Consider the following 18247-nt stretch of genomic DNA (forward strand, 5'->3'; position numbering starts at 1 on the left):
ACACAGTCTCTACTAAAAATAAAAAAAAAAAACAAAGAGCCAGGCGTGGTGGCACACACCTGTTAATTCCAGCTACACGGGAGGCTGAGGCACAAGGATAGCTTGAACCTGGGAGGCAGAGGTTGTAGTGCGCCGAGACTGTGCCATTGCACTCCGGCCTGGGTGAAAGAGTGAGACTCCATCGCAAAAAAAAAAAAAAAAAAAAAAAAAAAAAAAGAGGGGCCAGACATGTTGGCTCACACCTGTAATCCCAGCACTTTGGGAGGCCAAGGTGGGGGGATCACTTGAGCCCAGAGTTCAAGACCAGCCTGAACAACACGGTGAGACCCTATCTCTAAAAAAAGTTTTTTTTAATTAGCCAGGCATGGTGGCACACACCTGTGGTCCCAGCTACTCAGGAGGCTGAGGCAGGAGGATCACTTAAATCCAGGAGGTCAAGGCTGCAGTGAGCCATGATCATGCCACTGTGCTCCAGCTTGGGCGACAGAGTGAGACCCTATCTCCAACAAAAGAAAAAAAAAAAAAAGCATACACAGAGCAGCTCTGAGAAATTAGTTTCTACTAAAAGCACATTCATGTTACATTCAGAGAAATGGAAAATTTAATTACATTACTTTTCTACCCTGCATAAATAGGACAACAGCAGATGTTGTCCTATTTGAGTAGATATGACACCCTACTTTAAAAAGTACAGGTGAAATGACACTTGGAAATGCCACATTGTAGATAACACATTTTCAGAGTATGGATAATAGGGGATAGCACTGGAATAAATGGGACAACCAGGAAATTAAAGAGATCCTAATGCAATAACCTATGAAAAAAAAAAAAAAAGCATGATGAATAGAATGGCGAAGGGAAGACGTGACAGCTGCCTTCAAATATTAAAATTATTTTATAAAAGAAATCATCAAAAGAAGAAACAAGACCAACAGGTAGAAGGCTTGAAGAATATTTTTATTCTATATAAGGAAGTACCAAGAGCCAAACCACCTAAAGATGCACTGGGCTATCTTGAAAAGTAATGAATGTCCATCACTGAAAACGTCCAGTCATAGGCAATGCCCACTTACTAGAAACATGCCAAAAGTAACTATATGGGTGACTAGAGCATCGGCTTTTAATTCTATCACCACTTTCTTAATTGGTGGTGGAAATGTAATTTGATACAACCTCTTTAGGGTTAGATATTTGGCAACAGCTCTAAAAATTATAAATGCACAGATATACTTTGATACTGCAATTCTTTCAGGAATTCATGGCACAAGTTAATCATTGCTAAATTACTTGAAGTAGCATTTTAAAAAAAAAGTAAAAGCAAGCTAATGTCCTGGCTTTAGGACCCTGGTTTTAAAAACTCCAAAACTACAGTACATCCATACAATGGAATAATATGCAAGCATCCAAACTAATGAGAATACCCTTTATATATACTGACATGGAAACATCTCCAAGATACAGTTAATGGAAATAAAGTAAATGCAATGTTCAAACGTTTTCCTCCTTCTTTTAAAGACAGGGGATATATGTGTGTTTACTTGGAGATGCATAAAACATTTCCTGAAGAACACACAAGAAAGCAATAACATTAGTTTCTTTGGGGGTGGAGAAAGTAAATAACTAGGGAACAGAAAGGAGTCTTCATAGCATATTCTTAAGAGCCGCCAGAATTTTAAACCATGTATATATAATTCTTTCCAAATATGCTCATTTTTCAAAATATATGATTTATGAACCTAAAAGCTTCTGATTTTGAATTTTAGAAATATTCGTATCGCCTATCCTTTTACTCACAAGTTTTCTAAACATCATGTCAAAGTTTGTCATCTATATGTTGAAAAGAGCACACAAAATAAGAAACAAAATGTTGACATCATTCTTTTTGTTTTCAAACTGACCTCAATTCATAAACCCGGCCTCTTTTACAAAATTATTCAATAGTTGAATTTGTGACCAGTTAATTAGTTGTGAATCCACTCAATCAAATCATCTCAATTCACTATTTCCTTTTTTTTTTTTTTTTTTGAGATGGAGTCTCGCTCTGTTGCCAGGCTGCAGTGCTGCAGTGCTGCAGTGGCACGATCTCGGCTCACTGCAACCTCCGCCTCCTGGTTTCAAGCAATTCTCCTGTCTCGGCCTCTCAAGTAGCTGGGACTACAGGCACCCGCCACCATGCGTGGCTAATTTTTCTATTTTTAGTAGAGATGGGGTTTGACCATGTTGGTCAGGATGGTCTCAAACTCCTGACCTCAAGTGATCCGCCCGCCTCAGCCTCCCAAAGTGCTAAGATTATAGGCGTGAGCCACCATGCCTAGCTATTTCCTCATCTTAACTAAAAGGTTTCAAGATACTTTGTCAACTACCTAGCTGCAATGCAGATGTACTTACTAGAACCACAGTATTCCTCTGATTAAGAGTCTGAAAATCTTGCCATAAAAGTTAGCCAATTCTTACATACCCAAATGCCAGCACATAACCTACATTTTATGCTTATAATCATTTGATCATTAAGCTTTAAAATAAACTGATAAAATAAAATACAAGCATCTAAGATGTTTCTATTATATATTCATTCTACAGAAATATGTGGTAGTTAATAAAGACTGAGGTAGGTATCTCTGTGCTGAAGTGGAACAATGAAGAAACATTTAGAAAAGCAAGGCATCTGGCAATAGGTAAAGCACACCCACATTGAGGCACAATATTTTTTAAAAGCAGAGAAAGAATGTATTGCACATTTGCATATGCAAAAAATATTTCTGAACACCCAAGAAACTCCTAACAGTAGCTGTCATCTAGGAAAGGAGACCTGAGTGAATGGATTAAGAGGGAAACTAACTTATTATGATTAAAAGTTCACAGTCAGGTGTGGTGGCTCATACCTGTAATCTCAGCACTTTGGGAGGGCAAGGCAGAAGGATCACTTGAAGCCAGGAGTTCAAGACCAACCAGCCTGGGAAACATAGCAAGACCTTGTCTTTACAAAAAATTTAACAATGTAGCCAGGCATGGTGGCAGGCACCTGTAGTCCCAGTACCGAGCTGAGGCTGAAGCAGGAGAGGATCACTTGAGCCCAGGAGTTCGAGGATGCAGTGAGCTATGATCATGCCACTGCACTCCAGCCACAGCACCTCCCAAAACTACATATCAAAAAATTGTAGGCTGTGCGCAGTAGCTCACACCTATAATCCCAGCACTCTGGGAAGCTCGAGCCCAGTTCAATGTTACGGTGAGCTACGATTACGCAACTGCACTCCAGCCTGGGTGACACAGCAAGACTCTAATAGACACACAGACAGATAAATTTTAAAGTTTCCATTAAAAATAAGAACTATTGGCAGGGCGCGGTGGCTCACGCCTGTAATGCCAGCACTTTGGGAGGCCAAGATCATGAGGTCAGGAGATCGAGACCATCCTGGCTAACACGGTGAAACCCCATCTCTACTGAAAATACAAAAAAATTAGCCAGGCGTGGTGGTGGGTGCCTGTAGTCCCAGCTACTCGGGAGGCTGAGGCAGGAGAATGGCGTGAACCCAGGAGGCGGAGCTTGCAGTGAGCCGAGGTCGTGCCACTGTGCTCCAGCCTGGGCGACAGAGTGAGACTCCGTCTCAAAAAAAAAAAATAAAATAAATAAAAATAAGAACTATCAGTTACTTGAGAATTTCTATAAGAACCTTTTAATGTTTGTATTACCTAGTGAACCTCACTAAATCCATTAATTTTCACTAATCCATTCCTTATGAACACAGAAGTTTCTACTGAGCAAATATTAGCACTTAACATGTGAACTGTCTATCAACGGTGTTTTTAAAAGATTTACAGGCCGGGCTCAATGGCTCATGCCTGTAATCCCAGCACTTTGAGAGGCCGAGTCAGGTGGATCACGAGGTCAGAAGATCGAGACCATCCTGGCTAACATGGTGAAACCCCATCTCTATTAAAAAATACAAAAGATTAGCCAGGCATGGTGGTGTGTGCCTGTAATCCCAGATACGTGACAGACTGAAGCAGGAGAATCACTTGAACCCAGGAGACACAGGTTGCAGTGAGCTGAGATTGCGCCACTGCACTCCAGCCTGGTGACAGAGCGAGACTCCGTCTCAAATAAAAATAAAAAGATTTATATTAGGCAGGGCATGGTGGCTCACTGCCTGTAATCCCAGCACTTTGAGAGGCCGAGACGCGCAGATCACCTGAGTTCAGGAGCTCAAGACCAGCCTGACCAACATGGAGAAACCTTGTCTCTACTAAAAATACAAAATTAGATGGGCGTGGTGGCGTGTGCCTGTAATCCCAGCTACTCGGGAGGCTGAAGCAGGACAATCGCTTGAACCCGGGAGGCGGAGGTTGCAGTGAGCCAGATGGCGCCATTGCACTCCAGCCTGGGCAACAAGAGCAAAACTCCGTCTCAAAAAGAAAAAAAGATTTATATTAGGAGGGGCCTTCTCTAAAAGTAATGAATCCTTTTTTTTCCCTCCCTAAGCAAAAAATCCTTCTCTAAAATTAATCATTTTTCTAAGCCTGGTTTAATGCTTTTTTGGAAGACTGCTTATTTCTTTTCCTTTCAAAAGTTATGCAGGCTCATTAAAAAAAAAAAAAAAAAAAAGGCTGGGCATGGTGGCTCACGCCTGTAAATCCCAGCACTCTGGGAGGCCGAGGCAGGTGGATGACTAGGTCAGGAGATTGAGACCATCCTGGCTAACATGGTGAAACCCCGTCTCTACTAAAAGTACAAAAAAAAATTAGCCAGGTGTGGTGGCGGGTGCCTGTAGTCCCAGCTACTCAGGAGGCTGAGGCAGGAAAATGGCGTGAACTCGGGAGGTGGAGCTTGCAGTGAGCCAAGATCGTGCCACTGCACTCCAGCCTGGGCGACAGAGCGAGACTCCATCTCAAAAAAAAAAAAAAAAAAAAAAGGCCAGGCGCGCCAGGCGCAGTGCCTCGCGCCTGTAATCCCAGCACTTTGGGAGACCAAGGCAGGTAGATCACGAGGTCAAGAGATTGCGACCATCCTGGCCAACATGGTGAAACCCCATCTCTATTAAAAATACAAAAAATTAGCTGGGCTTGGTAGCACGGGCCTGTAGTCCCAGCTACTCGGGAGGCTGAGGCAGGAGAATCACTTGAACCCAGGAGGTGGAGGCTGCAGTGAGCCGAGATCACGCCACTGCACTCCAGCCTGGCGACAGAGAGAGACTTGGTCTCAAAAAAAATAAAAAAATAAAAAATAAGAAAAGGTTTTATGTTTTCAAAGATTAATAGATATACTGTTACATATACACAATACAGTCATAAATGTTATATACATGTGTTTCAATTAACATGTTAAACTGCAATCATATTCTTCTATCATAGGCTATAAAGCCATTGCCCTACATCTACTTATTAGGATTTTGTCCAAGTAACACATCTTTTTGAATCAAGTTTACCCATCATACGAGATTACATCTTTATCATGTTCCCAAAAATGGCAGAGTAAAAAGATCAAACTCTTCAAATTTGTCTACAAACAAATCATGGCAATGCAGGCTTTCGACAAGAGTGCACTCAACATCCCTGTTTCACCAGCCTCACCAGTATTGTGTATGCTTAGTTATTTTCCACTGTATCAAATTGACTATTTCATTTCAACTTTAATTCCACAGGTTTGTTCACATATTGTCATTACATACCAGAGCACACCTTCATTTAAAACACATCAAGACTCCGTGAAATGTCAATTGCTCCAAGTGGAAGACTTACCTGAAATGCTATGAGATAGCACAATGCAGCCAGCTCAGAAAGAGCTCGCCATTGAACATTATTACCATGCTGACCCATCTTCAAGAGCAGAGAACCAGCATGCATGTAGAAATGTCCTTTCATTTCTAAGAAAGTAGCTGACAGTTCATCATTTCCACCCAAAGAAGATTTCGCAGACTGAAGAGCACTATCAAAACTGTAATATGAAAATATCAAACAGATGATACACACTTACTGCACTGTGAATAATCATGGTTCATTTAATTCAAAACAAAATAAAAATTTTATTTCAAGCTTCATCTTCCACATTCAACTTCTAATAATTCTTATTCCCCGTGTTATAAATTATGAATCATCTAATGCTTATTTTTATCCTGCATACTTCCTATACTTCATGCTTAACCTCTCAAATGATGTCTTATTCCCAGTTATTTCCAGCCCTCCAATCACAGGATAAATATAAGATCAGTGATTATAGGCGCACATTTCAAAATAAACCAGGATAAAGTTGGGAGACTATTTTGTAGTTTCTTCCTGATCATATAATTTCATTATTTAATTAACAGTTGTAATTTCTCAAATTAGACATAGCATTTCCAAATTATAAGTAAATAATTGACAGGTATTTGAGTATCAATACAGTAATTGCTCTTTTTACTATATAGATCATTACAGCATTAAATAAATTGTCTTTTTTTTTTTTTTTTTGAGACGGAGTCTCTCACTATCGCCTGGGCTGGAGTGCAATGGCACGATCTAAGCTCACTGCAACCTCCACCTCCCAGGTTCAAGTGATTCTCCTGACTCAGCCTCCTGAGTAGCTGGGATTACAGGCACCTGCCACCATGCCCCGCTAAACTTTTTTTATATTTTTAGTAGAGACAGGGTTTTACTATGTTGGCCAGGCTGGTCTCGAACTCCTGACCTCACGATCCGCCCGCCTCAGCTTACCAATGTGCCGGGATTACAGGCATGAGCCACTATGCCTGGCCTATTATTTGTAATCTATATTCTAAATTAGTTCTTCTAAATCCTAATGTTTCTCCAAATCCTCACTTTGGAAGAAAAGTAAAAGCAAAAAGCAAACACTTAAACGTGAAGCATGATTTTAAAGTGGCTTACAATAAAGCAACCAGAGCAAGTGAGGTCTAAAGATCTCTGAGGGTGCTCAAAAACCCCTTCAGGGGATCCATGAAGCTAAAATTACTTTTACAATAATACCAAAAAAATTTATATATTACATACTCATTTTCTCATGTATGTAGAGCTGAGTTTTTTTGTTTTTGTTTTTGGAGACAGAATCTCACTCTGTCACAAGGCTGGAGTGCAGTGACACAATCTTGGCTTACTGCAACCTCTGACTCCCAGGTTCAAGCGATTCTTCTGCCTCAGCCTCCCGAGCAGCTGGGACTATAGGCGCGTACCAACATGCCCAGCTAATTTTTTGTATTTTTAGTAGAGACAAGGTTTCACCATTGTTAGCTGGGATGGTCTCGATCTCCTGACTTCGTGATCCACCCGCCTTGGCCTCCCAAAGTGCTGGGATTACAGGGCTGAGCCACCGCGCCCCGCTGAGCTGAGTTTTCTAGAGGCTTCATGACATGTAATAGTTTTACAGACTGAAAGAGGAAGTAAATGAGAATCTAGCTATGTTCTATTAAGCGAGACATTAAAAAGATTTACAAAAATGCAAAAACAATGACACTTTTCTGACTACTTTTTTGCTGTTGGAAAATAGTTATTTTTCATAAAAAATGCTATTATTGGCCCTGTGCGGTGGCTCACACATGTAATTCCAGCACTTTGGGAGGCTGAGGCGGGTGGATCACCTGAGGTCAGGAGTTCAAGACCAGCCTAGCCAACATGGTGAAACCCTATCTCTACTAAAAATACAAAAAATTAGCCAGGCGTGGTGGTGGGCACCTGTAATTCCAGCTACTTGGGAGGCTGAGGCAGGAGAATCGCTTGAACCTGGGAAGCAGAGGTTGCAGTGATCCGAGATCACACTGTTGCACTCTAGCCTGGGCAACAAGAGCAAAACTCTGTCTCAAAAAAAAAAAAAAAAAAAAAGCTATAATTATTAACACACAATAGGGCTTATTACATTTTTAATGGATTACATTTTTTATTTGTTTTAATTTCTAATGTAATAAACACTGACAGAAATAACCCACATACGGCCGGGTGCAGTGGCTCAGACCTGCAATCCCAGCACTTTGGAAGGCCAAGGCAGGCAGATCACGATGTCAAGAGATTGAGACCTTCCAGTACTTTGGGAGGCCAAGGTAGACAGATCAAGAGGTCAAGAGATCGAGACCAGCCGGGCGCGGTGGCTCATGCCTGTAATCCCAGCACTTTGGGAGGCCGAGGCAGGCGGATCACAAGGTCAGGATATCAAGACCATCCTGGCTAACACAGTGAAACCCCATCTCTACTAAAAATACAAAAAATTAGCTGGGTGTGGTGGCAGGCACCTGTAGGCCCAGCTACTCGGGAGGCTGAGGCAGGAGAATGGCGTGAACCCTGGAGACACAGCTTGCAGTGAGCCGAGATGGCGCCACTGCACTCCAGCCTGGGCAACAGAGCGAGACTCCGTCTCAAAAAAAAAAAGATCGAGACCATCCTGGCCAACATGATGAAACCCTGTTTCTACTAAAAATACAAAAATTAGCCAGGTGTGGGCTGGGCGCGGTGGCTCATGCCTGTAATCCCAACACTTTGGGAGGCCGAGGAGGGCAGATCACGAGGTCAGGAGATCGAGACCATCCTGGCTAAGAAGGTGACACTCCGTCTCTACTAAAAATACAAAAAAATTAGCCGAGCGTGGTGGTGGGCGCCTGTAGTCCCAGCTACTCAGGAGGCTGAGGCAGAAGAATGGCGTGATACTGGGAGGTTCACAAGGCAGGTAACAAAGGGCCCATGAGTCCTGATTAACTGATCTGACAAACCATCTGTCACCCACAGCCCTAAGCCACACTGTGAAACTGCCTAGGGTGGCACCAGCTTTTTATCTTCCTCAGGGTCCTCCCCTCAGGCCCCCAAGTCACCCCCTCATGGTCCAGATTCTCCCGAGTGACTCCATTCCCATGGTCATCTCCCCTCCTGAGCCTCCCCCTCTGAGGGCCAAGGGCTGTCCTCAGGGCCCTCCTGGGGCTTCCTGGTGGGGAACAACCTGAGGCAGGAGGATAAGCTCTTATTCAGAGCATTGAGAGGAAATTGTGAAGCTTGCAGTGAGCCGAGATTGCGCCACTGTACTCCAGGCTGGGTGACAGAGCGAGACTCTGTCTCAAAAAAAAAAAAAAAAAAAAAAAAAAAAAATTAGCCAGGTGTGGTGTCGGGCACCTGTAGTTCCACCTATTCAGGAGGCAGAGACAAGAGAATCACTTGAACCCAGGAGGCAGAGGTTGCAGTGAGCTGAGACTGCACCACTGCATGCCAACCTGGCGAGAGCAAGACTCAGTCTCAAAAAAAAAAGAGAGATTGAGACCATCCTGAACCCCGTCTCTACTAAAAATACAAAAATTAGCTGGGCGTAGTGGTGTGCGCCTGTGGTCCCAGCTACTCGGGAGGCTGAGGCAGGAGAATCGCCTGAACCCGGGAGGCGGAGGTTACAGTGAGTCAAGGTCGTGCCACTGCACTCCAGCCTGGTGACAGAGCAAGACTCCCTCTCAAAAAAAAAAAAACAAAAAAGAAAGAAAGAAAGAAAGAAAGAAAGGAACCCACATACAAACATCTTTGATGTCCTTAAGAAAAATGTAAAAGGAACTTGTGACCAAAAAATTTGAGTATACAAAGAACACAAAATAAAACATCCTACATGTTTTCTAAAATAATCTTAAAGTTATGTTAGTTCTTTTAGATACTGCTCTTACCCTACCAATTTAGGTCACTATGTACTTTTTCAAGAAAATTACCTACTCCCTGCACTCAGTGAAATGAACTTCTTTCCTTATACCAGATGGGGAAATAAATTAACTTCCAAACAAATGGACAGCCTAAACTAGCAATCAGTAAACTTTTTCTACAAAAAGGAGAAGATTACTAATCTGGCTTTACAGGCATACAATCTCTGCTGCAACCACTCAACTCCAATCTTATAGTATGTAAGCAGCCACAGACAATACATAAACAGAGGCATGCTGCATTCCAATAAATATTAACAAAATTAGGCAGGGGCCATATTTGGCCCACAAGTTCTAATCAACAACCCCTGCTCTAAACTAACATCTTTATACAAATCCAAGTGATGTTTTTGTTCAATGGAATTTATTTTCAAAATGGAGACACTGGTTTTCAAAATCAAAATTTAGGAAAAAAGGTAAATCACATAGTTCAGTTATTTTGTTTCTTAGCTAAAACAGTATTTTCTGAAACACCAGTGATGCTAAGTGCTTATACTAGTACATGTGAACCTAGCCATCTGATGACAGATGAACTTTAATTTTCACTCAAGATTATACTATTATAAAAAAATAAAATATGAAATAGCAGTTAGAACATTCATTTTAAGCTTGACTATGACAAAACTGAGTATTTAACCATAAGGCTAATTTTAATCAAGCTTGAACTATAAGAGTTCTCTAAAAAGGAAAGTCATATAAAACCAATTAGAACTTCCCCGTAAAAGAAGAAAAATAAGATTGCCTCCTAGTGGTTCACTGTATTAACTATAACTCCTAGGTACATTATAGAAATAATGATTCAGTAAAGAAATTTAGAGCAATGAACTTACTGCAAAAAGAAAAACTACAATTTATACTAAAGCATTCTCCTCAAAGTCAACGCACCTTTCCAGTAATTCTCTACTTTCCTGCACATCTCTAGTGGAAAGCGTAAGAAGCATAAGATTAGCATAGGCCAGCAGTAAGTCTGTATTGGTTGCTCGCCAGTCACTTTTATCAGACTCCAAACACTGTAAAGACTCCAGATATTCCTATTTTGTGGAATGAATAGTAAGTTACAAAACTTAATCAAGTGTTAAGAAATTAACCATTTTATGCCTACAAATTCCTTTTCTCACTCCAACCACGTTTGTGAAACTACATTGATTTTTACATCAACCTTATAAATGAAAACACCAAAAATATATACATTTATCATAGTTATCTCCCCAATTTTCCCATTATAAATTCAACTGATCCTGGTAAAAATTTCGTTTTATAACTGTTCTACCTAAATAAAAGAAATTTAAGTCCTGCGGGGCACTGCTGCTTTAGTACAAAAAGATGTATGCTAATTGCCTACATAGAAATGTAAAGACCCAATAGCTTTTATCTACCTTAAGGGTCTGTACAACACACGAATTCCACTCTAAACTTGAACGCAAAGCTATGTTCCTCTCTGCCTCATGGCAGCGGGCCACAGCATCCTTCAATCTTTTAGTTGAGCGATACAACTCCACTAGCCGGATGTTCACATGGACGTCATCAGGTCTTACATAAAGTTCTGACTGAATCAAGTCAAAAAGTTTATTCCATCCATCTTCACCTTCACAATCTAGAAGCTGTTCCTATTTAGAGGGGAAAAAGAAAAATTATTAGAGTAACACTTGTGCAATTTTAAACAAGTCATGCTCCCAAAAAGCACCATTCCACTATGTCTAGTTTTATGATGATGCCACCAAAAACACCATCCTATATACCTTATTCGTCCCTTCTGAGAGTTGCTTACAACCCAGAAACTAAGCCTCAAGAACTGTATGTGAAGAAAAGCATCTGTGATTACTGCGGTAGCTCATACTCTCTTCAGAGACTACCAGGACTATTGCCACACATCCCTGTCCATCTGAGTCACCATCAGAAGCCTAGACCTCCCCAGTCAATCCTCAGCAACAAGGTCCTTATGCTCAAACTGCTCTGTATCTCCTTAAATCTGACTCAATCCCGCATCCCCTCTCCTCCCACTGTTCTGTTACCTTCATCATCATCTCAAAGCACTGTCATCACCTCCTGACCTTAAATGAAGACAGTATCATCTCAGGATAACCCCCACTACCATGATGGCTTTTTCTCTCTGAACTTACATACAAGGAGAGGAAGTAGGGTTTGTGGCCACTCACTTCTCATTTGCGATGCTCTTCCATCAGCCTCTCAAGAAGCTAGGACCATAGGCATGCACCACCATGCCCGGCTAATTTTTTTTTAACGTTCTGTAGAGATGGGGTCTTGCCGTGTTGCCCAGGCTGACTACTCAGTTCCTTAATCACCTCATCTCCAGTGATGTTATCCTCCACTCCAACCTCAACCATCCACTTGCCACTGACACAGGTCTTCAAAATCTGCATTTTGGTCATACCACCGAAACCACCATACCATCCTTCTTATTCTTCCACCTCACTGAGGGCCTACATACCCTTACTTTCAGAAATACCACATGACAAGCTCCCTTCAAGACAATAACATCATCAAGTTTTAAACACCTGTAAACACATATAAATACACACACTTTCTTCTGTCAGGCAAAAAATGCTATAATCCCTTATATCCATAATTACTGTTTGCTTACAGATCCCTTCAACTAATTCCCTCTTTTCCTCAGAACCCTCCCAACTGGTTTCTGTGTGCTTAGATTTGGGAAATCATAACCCCAAGCTAACTGATTTCATTTGCATTATCTCAACCATCAAACTGGTGCTGCCTAAAACAAAATACCATTTTAGTACTAACAGACTCACTTTCTCCACTCCCTGACACTTCACACCTCCTCCTATTTCCTCAACTTCCCCATACCTTCCTTTGACCCTCACTTTCAACTTATAACCTAGATTCATCCTTCACTGAGAAACCTGATGCTATCACATATAAATTCCATTTTACCTTACCTACTTAAACTCGTCTTTCCCCAACTCTCAAGACCAAGCCGCCCATTAGTACTCTGTATTTCATTCCCCTCTCTCCTTTATCAATTTCTCCTCTTCTGGATGAGATGGATGAAACCCTGGCCTCTCCCTATTGCAAAAGCCCTAGTCTTTGACTCTATGTTAAACATTTTTTTAAAAACCACTATGAGTGCTTTTAAAAAGTTCTATCTCATACTTGAGAGAAAAAGCCTTCTCAACAGTAATACTCCCATTCATTAAACAAATGTCAGAAACTGTTTACCTTAGCAAGCCTTAAATTTTAGGAGAAATGGAATTACTTTGCATGACAGTTATAAATCTCATGGATTTCAATTCCAAAAAAAAAAATCTGATACAGGAAAGGTGTAACAGTGCCTTCAAGTTATTAAAGAAAATCTTTAAAGAATGCTTCAAAGTATCTAACTTGTTACACTGCAAGAAAAGAATCTCCTGCCATTACATATGTTCTTTAACACTACTGACACCAGATTAACTGGATTGCCACGCCCAATATGGGAGTTATGTTTGAGGCATAACACCTAAGAGAGTAAAGAAATCTGCACAATTAGACCTCATGTTTTAGACTAATATTTAAAATCCAGCTGCTTATTACTGGGGAGAAAAACTTATCAGTAATATTTATCTTTGGAAGCATCTTCAATGCTTTTTCAGCTTCAAAAATCTGGACATGATTGTTCATAGCAGTTGAACAATAGCCAAAACCTAGAAATAACCAAAATGCCCCTCAAAAGTGAATGGTTAAGGCTGGGCACAGTGGCTCACACCTGTAATCCCAGCACTTTGGGAGGCCAAAGTGGGTGGATCACCTGAGAACCCGGGAGGCAGAAGTGGCAGTGAGCCGAGATAGCACCACTGCACTCCAGCATGGGCGACAGAGCAAGACTCTGTCTCAAAAAAATAGAAATAAAAAAAGTGAAAGGTTAAATTGTGGACCATGAAATACTACTCAGAAGTAAAGGAACCAACTATGGATATACAAAACTTAATATGGATCACAAATGGTATTATGCTGACTGAACAAGCCAACCTCAAAAGGTCACATGCTTGGCTGGGCGCGGTGGCTCACGCCTGTAATCCTAGCACTTTGGGAGGCTGGGGTGGGCAGATCACATGAGGTCAGGAGTTCGAGACCAGCCAGGCCAACATGGTGAAACCCCGTTTCTGCTAAAAATACAAAAATAAGCGGGACACGGTAACATGTGCCTGTAGTCCCAGCTACCCGGAAGGCTGAGGCAGGAGAATTGCTTGAACCTGGGAGGCGGAGGTGGCAGTGGGCCGAGATTGCGCCAGTGAACTCCAACCTGGGCAACAGAGCGAGACTCCGTCTCAAAAACAATGAAAAAAGAAAAAAAAAGTCACACATTTCATGATGACATTTACATAACATTTTGAAATCACCAAAGTATAAAGATGGAGAACAGATTAATGTTGCCAGAGGTCAGGCATAGTGAAGAGAAGTAAATAGCATGACTACAAAAGGGGCAGCATGAGGAAGATCTCTGTGGTAATAGAGTAGTTCTGTATCTTGACGGCAGTGGTGGTATGAATCTACACGTGATAAAATGAAAGAAAACTATACATACACATTGTACCAATGTCAAAATTCCTGATTTTGATATTGTGCTTTGGGCGGGTTAAACAGGTTGAGTATCCCTTATCCAAAATGCTTGAGACCAGAAGTATTTCAGATTTTGAATTTTTTCAGACTTTGGAATATCTGCAGGATACTTAGCAGGCAGAGCATCCCAAATCTGAAAATCTGAAATCCAAAATTTTCCAATGAGCATTTCTTTGAGCATCATGTCAGTGCTCAAAAAATTTCAGATTTTGGAGCGTTTAGGATTTCGGATTTTAAATGCTCAACCTGTATAAGCATTGGGGGAAAATGAAGTAGCATATAGGATCTTTCTGTGCAATCTTTGCAACTTCCTGTGCAAAAAAATCTATAATTATTTCAAAATTAAAATTTTTTAAATTTCTATCAGAAACATATATAATGGGGGTAGGAGGAGGCTAAAGGCAAATATACATTTATAATTTTATATTGTACATACACAATAAAGTATACATTAATAGATAAAACATTACAATATACATTTTAAATGTTTGCCAAACATATTTGTGTAGATTTTCTCCAGAACAGTTACTTAGTAAACTATATTTTACTCTATAAAGAATATCAGGACCAGTCAACACACTAGCAAGAACTTCCTACCATTTTTAGTAATTACGTCTTATATACTAGAGAAACCACCTTTTATCTTTTGCTTGAAAACCTTACTATCTCAAAATACAATCCCTTCCACTTTCAGACAATAGTTATTAGAAAACACTTCTTTAAAATATCCCTAAATTGTCATCCTGTAGGTAATTTTCACTTAATGAAGCAAAAATTGTATACTAGACAGAACTTAATGTAAATCTTAGCTCTACTTAGTTTACAGCTACTAAACTGTAAAATCCCTAAAATATTAATTATTCCAGAAGGGTAAATGAGATGTCACTTATAAAGTATAACAATGCCTAATAAGACAGTAGATGCTGAGAAAGGTTTTAATACACTTTTTAAAAGAAAAATGTTAAAGGAAACACAAACACCTGGGCTTAAGGTTTGCTATTGAAAAGTAATTTAAACTCCAAATATTAGAAATGGTTATGTCTTAAGTTTTCTCCCTTTATGTTTTGTTTGTTTACCTTTAGTTTATAAATTGCAGGACTTCCTGGGAAAAGTTTTGCTGCTCTTTCCACCCAGTATTCTGCTCTTCCATCAGTAACATCATTTTTACAAAGCAATTCTGCAATCTTCAACACAAGATCTTTTTGTGTTGGGTTTAATTCCACTGAACGCTAATATCAGAAAAGAAATTAAAGATTAGTAAATAAATTGTATGTATGTATGTAGGAGTATATATACTTATATACTTATATATAAAGGTTAAAAATTATCACTCCAACCCTTAAAAAATTCTACTTCTGGAGAAAACATATTACTTCAAAGGTGTTCAAATAAAAGTGTCTTGGAATTTTCTGGAAATGAACCAAATAAAGATTATATTTGTGTCATTTGAATGCAAAAAACACAAAAGAACACCATTTCTGACCGTGTTAGACTTACAATTTATAGGTGTTAAACAATTCTAAATCTGTTCCAAGCTGTGTCACATAACTGTACTATGATACCAATGCCTGTTTTATGATATTCATAAAATATATTTGACTTACTTATATAAATTTCTCTGGGCATCATGTGTTTGGCTATGCAAAGGCTATATTTGAATCCTATAACTTACCCTGTAACATTCAACGGCTTTCTCTGTGTTTTCTTCCAATTCATAAAGAAGACCCAGAAATCTGTGAGCTCTGGGATCCATCTCTCGCACATTAATGTAAGTACATATGTATCTGTTTTTTAAAAGTAATACAAAAGTAAATTAAACTTAGAACTGTACTTTTAAATGCTAACCGAAGAATACATCTTAAACCAAAGCAACCACTAAACTCGTTTATATTGTTACTCAAAACTACCACTATTCATACAGATAACTCAAAAGTATTCATAGAAAGAAATGGGTAATACTTAAAAACACATACATAGAGTTGACCACATACTCATTTTACCATTAAATGTCACATTTACCAAATTTTTCTCCAGTGTTATCCACACATAAGAAATGAACATATAAATTGCTTTTTCTTCCTGATCACATTTTAATAAAGCACTAACAGTTTTGCAAATAAATTAGAAGTGATTATAGTAAACATTTTTAAAGTTATCATAATGCAAAATACTAAACAGCAACAATTTCCCAAACAACAAAGGGAAATACACTTACCCTTTAAGCAAGAAAGTAATTTCTAACAGTACTATATATCCAGCTAAAATCGAACAGAAGAAAAATTACTAATTACAGTACCAAATACAGGAAATTTCCATTTCTCAAATCAAGTAACAACTAAAATAAGTAAATATCCTCTAGGTTCCTTGACAGTATTACCATCAGAGAAATGAGGCCAGACCTAAACTAAGGGATTAAAGTCTCACAGTAAAAAGGTACAAGAGTTAACAGTCACAGTGCTGCTAGTTACATAATTTATGTACCACCATTTTCCTTTCTTACCAGCATTTCCATCTTCCTTTGGATGCCTTTAAAAGCCTGCCTCCCAGCTGGGAGCAGTAACACACACCTGTAGTCTCAACACTATGGGAGGCCGAGGCAGGCAGACTGCTGCGCTCAGAAGTTCAAGACTAGCCTGGGCAACATAGTGACACCTGTCTCTACCAAAAAATGCAAACCTTAGCCAGGTCCACGTGGTGGTGCGCATCTGTATCCCCAGCTACTTGGGGCGCTGAGGTGTAAAGATCTCTTGAGCCCAGAAGGCAGAGGTTACAGTGAGCAAAGATGGAGCCAGCTGCTGCACTCCTGCCTGAGCAAGAGAGACAGATACTGCCTAAAAAAAAAAAAAAAAAAAGCCTGCCTCCCTCTTAATTTCCTGCTTTAATCCACTCCCAGTCAGGAAATCAGAATCACCAAGCTTCTTATCCCTAGGATAGAGCCTTAGAGCATCACATATTGTGTCAATTAAACATCTTTTATACAAGCTATTCTCCTGCCTTACAATTACAGTTTAATTTTTTATTCATTGCTATTTTCCATCTGATTAAGGTATCAGATATCTAACCAAAAACAAATTAAGATATAGGCATGGTCCTCTTTTACTTCAACAGAAGACAATTTTTAGAAAAAGTGTTTTAAGCCAAACAATTTCTTGCCCTTGGTATAAAGCAGCAGCATGCAGAAAACACTAATTACGGTTTCAATCTCAATGGAATCTAGGCTGGTCCTTAGCATCAGTCTGAGTGATAAATCCCTTATTCCAGAATACACTTAGGAAGAACTACTAAGGATATATTTTTACCTATTTCAAAGAAGAAAATGAGAAAAGGCATTGATTTTAAAAAAAGAATACATGTTACAGTTTGTACTTACTTTTTAGCAAGATCATATTCTTTAGCTTCATAATACAGCTTTGCAAAATAGAATCCTCTCGTTGACTTCTAAAAAAAATTAAAAGTTGTTTTACGTTTCATACAGAAATATTTTCCAACATTTTTTCAAAAGTAGTAAAAATCTGCCCTAAGTTTATGTTCAAATATGCCATTTTCATTCACTTAAAAGTTTTTTTTAAAGCCTGACAAATGCATAATTCCATGTTTTATAATTTCCTATCACAAAACAAAAAATAGAGCTGGGTGCAGCGGCTCATGCCTGTAATCCCAGCACTTTGGGAGGCCGAAGTGGGCGGATCACCTGAGGTCAGGAGTTTGAGACCAGCCTGGCGTTATAACATGGTGAAACTCCGTCTCTACAAAAATAGAAAAATTAGCCAGGCATGATGGCGGGTGCCTGTAATCCCAGCTACTCGGGAGGCTAAGGCACGAGAATCAGTTGAACCCAGGAGGTGGAGGTTGCAGTGAGCCAGAGGTTGCAGTCAGCTGAGATTGTGCCATTGCACTCCAGCCTGGGCGACAGAGACTCCATCTCCCAAACATCATCATCATCATCATCATAAATAAGCTGGGTGCAGTTGGTCACAACTTTAATTCTATTTAATTCTAGCACTTTCAGAGACCAAGGTGGGAGGCTAGCT

The 18247-nt window shown here is 39.8% G+C and overlaps 1 protein-coding gene across 5 annotated transcripts in view, besides 1 other annotated feature; it reads right to left on the reverse strand.

The window, feature by feature from the left end:
* Positions 1–18247, reverse strand: part of RGPD3 (RANBP2 like and GRIP domain containing 3) — a 67530-nt gene that overhangs the window by 38273 nt on the left and 11010 nt on the right. For 3 of the 5 annotated variants that reach the window (XM_017004738.2, XM_017004739.3, XM_047445567.1), the window contains exons 2-8: positions 17587–17654; positions 16432–16474; positions 15889–16000; positions 15293–15445; positions 11018–11248; positions 10527–10672; positions 5740–5935 (exon numbers count right to left, since the gene is read on the reverse strand). In XM_017004738.2, coding sequence (XP_016860227.1) covers positions 5740–5935; positions 10527–10672; positions 11018–11248; positions 15293–15445; positions 15889–16000; positions 16432–16474; positions 17587–17654 — 949 coding nt within the window. The remainder of the gene's footprint in view (positions 1–5739; positions 5936–10526; positions 10673–11017; positions 11249–15292; positions 15446–15888; positions 16001–16431; positions 16475–17586; positions 17655–18247) is intronic. The other 2 variants (NM_001144013.2, XM_017004740.3) reach the window with 1 other exon arrangement.
* Positions 2665–3166: an enhancer, noted in NCBI's record as "H3K27ac hESC enhancer chr2:107060799-107061300 (GRCh37/hg19 assembly coordinates)". NCBI's record gives its function as "activates a minimal SCP1, AML or CMV promoter by ChIP-STARR-seq in primed H9 embryonic stem cells {active_cell/tissue: H9 hESC(primed)}" and the evidence as "EXISTENCE:reporter gene assay evidence [ECO:0000049][PMID:30033119]".

The sequence above is a fragment of the Homo sapiens genome, chromosome 2, assembly GCF_000001405.40.
Source record: "Homo sapiens chromosome 2, GRCh38.p14 Primary Assembly".
NCBI lineage: Eukaryota > Metazoa > Chordata > Mammalia > Primates > Hominidae > Homo > Homo sapiens.